The 8920-nt window shown below is 49.0% G+C and overlaps 5 annotated features.

Moving 5' to 3' along the window:
- Positions 74 to 123: a silencer, noted in NCBI's record as "silent region_13826". NCBI's record gives its function as "represses an Ori minimal core promoter by ATAC-STARR-seq in GM12878 lymphoblastoid cells {active_cell/tissue: GM12878}" and the evidence as "EXISTENCE:reporter gene assay evidence [ECO:0000049][PMID:35858748]".
- Positions 144 to 513: a silencer, noted in NCBI's record as "silent region_13825". NCBI's record gives its function as "represses an Ori minimal core promoter by ATAC-STARR-seq in GM12878 lymphoblastoid cells {active_cell/tissue: GM12878}" and the evidence as "EXISTENCE:reporter gene assay evidence [ECO:0000049][PMID:35858748]".
- Positions 714 to 1215: an enhancer, noted in NCBI's record as "H3K27ac hESC enhancer chr22:42895291-42895792 (GRCh37/hg19 assembly coordinates)". NCBI's record gives its function as "activates a minimal SCP1, AML or CMV promoter by ChIP-STARR-seq in naive H9 embryonic stem cells {active_cell/tissue: H9 hESC(naive)}" and the evidence as "EXISTENCE:reporter gene assay evidence [ECO:0000049][PMID:30033119]".
- Positions 1301 to 1821: an enhancer, noted in NCBI's record as "OCT4-NANOG hESC enhancer chr22:42894685-42895205 (GRCh37/hg19 assembly coordinates)". NCBI's record gives its function as "activates a minimal SCP1, AML or CMV promoter by ChIP-STARR-seq in naive H9 embryonic stem cells {active_cell/tissue: H9 hESC(naive)}" and the evidence as "EXISTENCE:reporter gene assay evidence [ECO:0000049][PMID:30033119]".
- Positions 1423 to 1717: a silencer, noted in NCBI's record as "tiled region #4608; K562 Repressive DNase matched - State 5:Enh". NCBI's record gives its function as "represses a minimal TATA promoter and a strong SV40 promoter by Sharpr-MPRA in K562 cells {active_cell/tissue: K562}" and the evidence as "EXISTENCE:reporter gene assay evidence [ECO:0000049][PMID:27701403]".

Raw genomic sequence — 8920 nt, 5'->3', positions numbered from 1 at the left:
CCACCGCCATCTCTGCGCCCTGGCAGGACCCATCCCGAGGGCCGCCGGCCCCACCCCTAGGCGGCCCCACCCCTAGGCCGCCCCGCCCCACCCCTAGGCCGCCCCGCCCCACCCCAGGCAAGCCCCGCAACTCCAGCAGTCCCCGCAACTCCAGCCGTCCCCGCCCCCATTCAGAAGGCCCCGCCTTCCCACCGCCCTGCCAGAGCCCCGGCGGGCCCTGTGCCCAGGGCCGCTGGCTCCACCCCAGGAAGGCCCCGGCTCCACCCCCGGAAGGCCTCCGCCCCACCTGCCAGGCCCCGCCCTCACCCGCCAGGCCCCGCCTTCCCACTACCCCATCCGCTCCCACTGGCTGGAACCTAGCAGGGTCCCGACCACTGGGCAGTCCTGTAATTATAGTCACGCGCGACCACGCCCGACTAATTTTGTATTTTTAGTAGAGACAGGGTTTCTCCATGTTGGTCAGGCTGGTCTCGAACTCTCAACATCCGGTGGTGAGCCCGCCTCGGCCTCCCAAAATGCTGGGATTACAGGTGTGAGCCACCCAACCCGGCCTGGTCAAACTAACTTTTAAGTATAAAAATAGCAGATTGTCAGGCCGGACGCAGTGGCTCACGCCTGTAATTCCAACACTTTGGAAGGCCAAAGCAGGCAGATCACTTGAGGTCAGGAGTTCAAGACCAGCCTGGTCAAAATGGCTAAACTGCGTCTCTACTGAAAATAGAAAAACAGCTGGGCGTGGTGGTGCACGCTTGCAATTTCAGCTACTCAGGAGGCTGAGGCAGGAGAATCGCTCGAACTTGGGGGATGGAGGTTGCAGTGGGCCCAGATCGCGGCAGTGCACTCCAGCCTGGGTGACAGAGTGAGTTAAAAAGAAAAAAAAAATAGCAGATTCTCACCAATGTGCAGGAACCCAGAGAATATTGTTCCCAAAGCCTTTCCTGAGGAATTACTAGAAAATAAGCTTCAGACAACCAACGAGACTAAAAAGACATTGACATTAGCCTGGTGTGAACATTAAAGATATATTTACATGGAGAACCAAGAGAAGATGAGGAGTAAAAAGGAGAGGATGGAGTGTAATGGTTACATTCGCCAACAACATAGACAAAGTACAGCTATAAATAGGGGGAGAAAATGGTGTGGGCATATCTTTAAAGTGTGTGTGTGTGTGTGTGTGTGTGTGTGTGTGTGTGTTTTGTTTTTTGTTTTTTGGCCAGGGACGGTGGCTCAGGCTTGTAGTCTCAGCACTTTGGGAGGCCAAGGCAGGTGGGTGGCTTGAGGTCAGGAGTTCGAGACCAGCCTGGCCGATGTGGCGCAACTTCATTGTAGGGAGACCCCCTGAAACTATTGCTATGGAATAAAAGATGAAATGCTCCTGATTATTGTAAATACAAAATTGCATGCAGGATTGTGTAAAGACAATGCCAGGTTGGACTGCCAGAATGAGCCAATAGCACGTGATGTGCTTCCCCCTGCAGAGAGCCTATGAATGGACTTGCAGTCAGGGAAGTTTCACATCACCAAGATTCGTATCCCAGCAAAGCAGATGTTCATAGCTCTGGGAATGGAATGCGACCCTTGTGGAGAGCCTATAAATGGACGCATAGGGGGTGCCTGTCCATATGGATAAGATAGGGCTATAAACGCCCTCATCTTGCCGTGGCTCTTCTAGGCCTCTTTAGGGTTAAGGCATACTCCCTTCTGAGAATTTCTGGTCTAACCGGTTGTCTAGCTTCCTGTTTCCATGGATTGTTTGTAACCAGCTTTTGTTGCAGTTTTTACTACTGATTAAAATCTTGCTAATCATAGGTTATGGAAAGACTGTGTTTCTGTTTTAAGGCTCTGTTAGAAATTACTGACGCACACACTATGTTGTAAATTCTTATCTCTGTATACTATACTTCTACATACAAATGTACTGTACTTCTACATACAAATGTTATGTTAAAGAATTGCTTCATCCCCATGTGACCATCTCACCTCATAATCAAATGACCCTAAATCCCTCACTAACCTACCCCCGACCTCACTAAACTTAATAATAAATGCTGGTATATCCCGTGCATTGTTGGCACTGAGGGACCAGAAGGCAGTGACCCCCCTGGACCCAGCTTTCACTATCTTGTGTGTGTCTATTATTTCTCAACCTGCCAATCCGCTTGGGAACAAAGAGAGAGCCCCGTTGCATTGCAGGCTGCTGGCCAGATCCTGCAATACTTCATCTCTACTAAAATACAAAAATTAGCCAGGTGTGGTGGTGGGCGCCTGTAATCCCAGTTACTTGGGAGGCTGGGGCAGGAGAATCACTTGAACCCAGGAGGTAGAGGTTGCAGTGAGCTGAGATCACACCATTGCACTCCAGCCTGGGTGACAGAGCAAGACTCCGTCTCAAAGAAAAAAAAAAGTAATAATAATACTAAAGTAAAATAAAATGTTTTGGAACTGTTTTTAGTGATCATATGGACTGGTAATGTTATATTTTTATTCTAAGAATGTTTTCGAACATGGGACAAAGCAATTAGTAATTATGTGATATTCAAATTCTATCATCCCCAGTGGCCAGAGAACTGAATTCTTGGTGTAGGGAAAAGGAGTTACAGATGTGAAATAGAAGAGAATGAGTAACATCTTGTCTCCTGAATTTGAATCAGAAGTATCAGTATGTTTCATGAGGCATCTTATCTTAAAAAAAATACACAAATTCACATATACATATACACACACACACAAACACCTTGTAGCTGTGTACTTAGAAAGAGTCTTAACAAAAACATAAAAAGCTTAATCTGATTAACACTCTAGATGCAATGATCAATTTACAGGAGGAAAAAATGAAACCTGTTAACCTATACCACAGGAATGTAACCAGCAAAATCCAGACTATGGGAAGCGATACAAATTAACCATCCCAAATTTTTCAATAAAAAATTGAGAGAGAATAAAGAGATGCAGGGGGAATCTATAGATTGAAAGAGACTCTTAAAAGCAGGCAGTACTAACTATAATATTTAGGGAGACTATATTAATTTTCTATGCTGTGCAACAAGTTACTACAAATTTAGCAGATTTTTTTCTTTTTTTTTGAGATGGAGCCTCATACTGTTGCCAGGCAGTGGTGCAATCCTGGCTCACTGCAAACTCTGCCTCCTGGGTTCAAGCGATTCTCCTGCCTCAGCCTCCCGAGTAGCTTGGAATGACAGGCATGCGCCACCACGTCCAGCTAATTTTGTATATTTAGTAGAGACGAGGTTTCACCATGTTAGCCAGGCTGATCTCGAACTCCCGACCTTAGGTGATCAGCCCGCCTTGGTCTCCTAAAGTGCTGGGATTGCAGGCGCAAGCCACTGCGCCCGGCCCTTTTTTTTTTTTTTTTTTTTTTTTAAGACAGAGTTTCACTCTTGTTGCCCAGGCTAGAGTGCAGTGGCAGGATCTCGGCCCACTGCAACCTCCGCCTTCTGGTTTTCACGCGATTCTTCTGCCTCAGCCTCCCGGGTAGCTGGGATTACAGGTGCCCACCACCACGCCCGGCTAATTTTTTTGTATTTTTTAGTAGAGACGGGGCTTCATCATGTTGGCCAGGCTGGTCTTGAACTCCTGACCTCGTGAGCCGCCTGCCTCGGCCTCCAAAGTGCTGGGATTACAGGCATGAGCCACTGTGCCCAGCTGTTTTTTTTTTCTCTTTCTTTCTTTCTTTCCTTCCTTCCTTCCTTCCTTCTTTCCTTCTTTCCTTCTTTCTTTCTTTCTTTCTTAAGAGACAAGATCACCCAGGCTAGGGTGCCGTGGAGCAGTCATGGCTCACTGCAGCCTTGAACTCCTGGGCTCAAGCCATCCTCTTGCCTCAGCCTCCTGAGTAGCTGGGACTACAGGCACACACCATTACACCAAATTCAGTAGCTTCAAATAACACACATTGTTAGCTCACAATTGGGTAGGACTGTAATGGATTGAATTGTGACTTGTTCTCCCCACTAAATTCACATGTTGAAGTTCCAACTCCTACTACCTCAGAATGTCATCTTATCTGGGGATAGGTTCTTCTCAGAGGTGAACAAGTTAAAATTAAGACATCAGGCTGGGCCATATTCCAATATGACAGGTGTCCTTAGGAAAAAGGGAAATTTGCATATACACATCCAGAGAGAACATCAAATAGAAATGATGTGGTTTTTTATATATTGAGCCAGAGTTTCACTCTTGTTGCCCAGGCTCTTGTTGCCCAGGGTGGAATGCAATGGCACGATCTCGGCTCACTACAACCTGCACCTCCCAGGTTCAAGCCATTCTCTTGCCTCAGCTTCCCAAGTAGCTGGGATTACAGGCGCCCACCACCACATCCGGCTAAGTTTTTGTATTATTAGTAGAGACGGGGTTTCATCATGTTGGCCAGGCTGGCTTTAAACTCCTGACCTCAAGTGATCCACCCTCCTTGGCCCCTCAAAGTACTGGGATTACAGGGGTGAACCACAGCACCTGGCCCAGAATCCATTTTGAAGTGGAGCCAGCAGGATTTGCTGCTGGGTGTTGTGAGAGTGGGAGGAGTCAGGGATGACCCACGGGTGTTGGCCTGAGCAGCTGGAGGAAGTGAGTTGCCGTGAGCTATGGGCACAGCCAGAGCTGGCTTTGTTGACTGTTTTATCTGATGCTGACCACCCACTGACCTACTCTTCTACAGATACATTGAGACTATCACACCGAGGGCCCACGGGCTTCGCTGGTCCGAGACCAAGTGTCCTTTCTCTTGAAGTGTTTGCATAATGTCTGCTTCAATGCACTGTAGGTGGCATGCACTGTAGAGTTTCACTCTCAGGAGGAAATTTATTCCACAACGGTAGCTGCACGTGTCTACCCAAAGATATTAACTTGCTGTGTTACCGACTCCTAGCATTCCTTAAGACTGTATGGCTTTGAACTTCATCTTGAGGCTTCTACACTCTGTGGCTTTGACTTGGCCCTCCTCTGCTACCTTTGGTGATTCTTAGGGGCTGGTACAATTCTTTTTTTTTTTTTTTTTTTTTTTTGAGACGGAGTCTTGCTCTGTTGCCCAGGCTAGAGTGCAATGGCGTGTGATCTTGGCTCACTGCAACCTCTGCCTCCAGGGTTCGAGCAAGTCTCACCTCAGCCTCCGAGTAGCTGGGATTACAGGCACCTGCCACCACGCCCGGCTAATTTTTGTATTTTTAGTAGAGATGGGGTTTCACCATGTTGGCCAGTCTGGTCTCGAACTCCTGACCTCGCGATCCACCCGCTACAGCCTCCCAAAGTGCTAGGATTACAGGTGTGAGCCTCTGCACTCAGCTGGTACAATTCTTTACCTCTCTCTTCATACCCCTCTTTTTTTTGAGACAGAGTCTTGCTCTGTTACCCAGGCTGGAGTGCAGTGGCGCAATCTTAGCTGACTGCAACCTCTGCCTCCTACTCTCAGATCAGCAAAGCCCATGGGCCCTTGGTATGATAGTTCCCAGGTTCAAGTGAGTCTCATGCCTCATCCTCCCAAGTAGCTGGGATTACAGGCATGTGCCACCATGCCTGGCTAAATGTTTTTGTATTTTTAGTAGAGATGGGTTTTCGCCATGTTGGCTAGGCTGGTCTCAAACTCCTGGCCTCAAGTGATCTGCCCGCCTTGGTCTCCCAAAGTGCTGGGATTACAGGCATGAGCCACCATGTCTGGCCCATACCCCGTTTTATCACACATGCATTCCTATGCATGTGTGTGCGCACGCACACACACACACACACACACACTACTCTGCAGGTGACCTTGCCTACACACTAGGCAGGTCACCAGAGTCCTCAGTCCTCCAAAGTCTGGCTCCTGGCCCCACCAATCTTTTAACATACTCCTATTAATACCACCTGTCCTGGCAAATGCCATCCCCAAACTTACAGCTGCAAATTCTTTCTAGAGAGTCCCAATTTATAACATTCTGCAGCAGCTCTGTTCAACAGAAATACAATGTAAGCCACATATGCAATTAAAAATTTTCTAGGACCCTCATTTAAAAACAAAAAGAAACAGGTGAAAGTAATTTTAATAATGTATGCATTTTATTTTACCCAACTTACTCAAAACATTTTTTTTTTTTGAAACAGAGTCTCTCTCAGCTGCCCAAGCTGGAGTGCAGTAACACGATCTCGGCTCACTGCAACCACTGTCTCCTGGGTTCAAGCAATTCTCCCATCTCAGCCTCCCAAGTAGCTGGAATTACATGCACCCGCCATCATGCCCAGCTAATTTTTGTATGTTAGTAGAGACAGGGTTTCTCCATGTTGGCCAGGCTAATCTTGAACTCCTGACCTCAGGTGATCCGCCCGCCTCCAAAACATTATCTTTTTTTTTTTTTTTTTTGAGACGGAGTTTCGCTCTGTTGCCAGTCTGGAGTGCAGTGGCAGGATCTCGGCTCACTGCAACCTCTGCCTCCTGGGTTCAAGTGATTCTCCTGCCTCACCCTCCCAAGTAACTGGGACCACAGGTGCACACCACCACGCCTAGCTAATTTTTGTGTTTTTAATAGAGATGAGGTTTCATCATGTTGGCCAGGATGGTCTCATTCTCTTGACCTTGTGATCCACCCGCTTTGGCCTCCCAAAGTGCTGGGATTACAGACGTGAGCCACCGCGCCCAGCAAAAAACATTACCTTTTTAACATGCAATCAATATAAAAAGTATTGGAATGCTTTACATCCTTTTTTTCCCCTTCATGTCAAGTCTTTGAAATCTGGTATTTTACACTTACAGCACATCTCCGTTCGGAGAAACCACATTTCACAGCTTAATGGCCACACGTGGCTAACTGCCACTGTTTTGCACAGTGCAGTTCCAGGTACTTAACTATCCGCACAGTGGTCAGGCAAAATCAGCATCTGTCTCAGCTGGAAGCTTGTTTGTAATGCAGAATCCCAGACCCACTCAGCCAGAATCTGCCTTTTAATGAGATGCTCAAGTAATTTACACACACATTCCAGTGTGAGACGCATGGGTGGATGGCCATTGTTTTGGTTTGTTCTGGAAAGTATACTTGCATTTTTCAGACTACATGCCTTAATTTTGGTTCTGAAAGCACAATCACTTCGCCTATGATGGCATCTGTATTAGGGTCCTCCAGAGAAACAGAACCAATAAAATACATAGAGAGAAATACAGACAGATTTATTTATTTATTGAGACATGGTCTTGCTCTGTTGCCCAGGCTGGAGTGCAGTGGGGCAATCATGGCTCACTCCAGCCTCGACCTCCCAGGCTCAGGCAATTCTCCTGCCTCAGCCTCCTGAGTAGCTGGGACCATGGGTGTGTGCCACCATGCCCAGCTAATTTTTAAAAATTATTTGTAGGCCGGGCGCGGTGGCTCACACCTGTAATCCCAGCGCTTTGGGAGGCCGAGGCGGGCGGATCACGAGGTCAGGAGATCGAGACCATCCTGGCTAACGCGGTGAAACCCCGTCTCTACTAAAAATACAAAAAATTAGCCGGGCATGGTGGCGGGCGCCTGTAGTCCCAGCTACTCGGGAGGCTGAGGCAGGAGAATGGCGTGAACCCGGGAGGCGGAGCTTGCAGTGAGCCGAGATCGCGCCACTGCAGTCCGACCTGGGTGAAAGAGAGAGACTCTGTTTCAAAAAAAAAAAAAAATTATTTGTTGAGACAGGGTTTTCCTATGTTACCCAGGCTGGTCTAAACTCCTGGGCTCAAGCCATCCTCCTGCCTTGGCCTCCTGGGATTACAGGCATGAGCTATCAGCCCGGCCACCTAAATGATACTCAAATAAAGTTTAAAGACAAGGCAAAGAACTCCCCAGAATATGCACCCTATGCTCCAAAAACAGTTCCCAAAAGTTTGGTCACTGGCATTGCCGCTGTCATCACCGCAAAGCCTCCTGGGGCTACTTGGAAGGACCAGGCCTGTGCAGATGTGCACGCCAGCACCTCTTGGTAGGTGGCTCACGGCCTGTGGCGTCCACTGTTCTGCGAGCCCGGGAGAGTTGTGGTGCCCTCGGTACTGAGCACAGATACACCAATGTTTAGGGCCGCTGCGTCCTTGGACAAATGGTGATGCGAGATGCTCAGGGGAGGTGGGTTGGGGGCGGGCATGAGTCCCATCGCGTCCCCAGGCCTTCGCCCAGCGTCCCACACATTGGGACTCCTACTGTGGCCAATGCCACTGTGACCGCGACTGCCCATTAGCTCGAGTGTGTGGCGCTGTCACCCCCATCTCTGATTTCCTTCAGCTGCTTCCGGCTGAAGAGCGTTTTCGGACTTCATGGGGAGGCTTCTGGAAAGGATTGCAAAAGCAACAGAGGAGCTCTGTCCACTGAGATGGCGGCATGGGTGAGCACCAGGCCTGCCATGGCCAGAGCTTCAGGAGGACAAGAGGCCAGAGCTTCAGGAGGACAAGAGGCAGGACGGGTTGGGGCCTTCAGCTGTGTGGGAGAAAGAGACCTGCTGACACCAGGACTGGCGCCCATTTGGGACAGTGGCTACCAGCCAGGGAATGGGCACTGCTGAGATGTGAGTCTTTGTGTCAGCAATCAATGGCAAGGCGGTAGCATCCTACCTAAGTGCCCCTTCTAGAATGCCTGGACCAACCTTGCTGTTGGTTATTTTTACTTATTTATTTATTTTTGTAGAGATGGGGTCTTGCTATGTTGCCCAGGCTGGTCTTGAACTCCTGGCCTCAAGAAATCCTCCCACCGGCCGGGCGCGGTGGCTCACGCTTGTAATCCCAGCACTTTGGGAGGCCGAGGCGGGCGGATCACGAGGTCAGGAGTTCGAGACCACAGTGAAACCCCGTCTCTACTAAAAAATACAAAAAATTAGCCGGGCGTGGTGGCGGGCGCCTGTAGTCCCAGCTACTCGGAGAGGCTGAGGCAGGAGAATGGCGTGAACCCGGGAGGCGGAGCTTGCAGTGAGCCGAGGTTGAGCCACTGCA

This window comes from Homo sapiens, chromosome 22 (genome assembly GCF_000001405.40).
Source record: "Homo sapiens chromosome 22, GRCh38.p14 Primary Assembly".
Taxonomy (NCBI): Eukaryota; Metazoa; Chordata; class Mammalia; order Primates; family Hominidae; genus Homo; species Homo sapiens.
The sequence above is the reverse complement of the archived record's forward strand: the minus strand, read 5'-3'. Positions and strand labels throughout refer to the sequence as shown.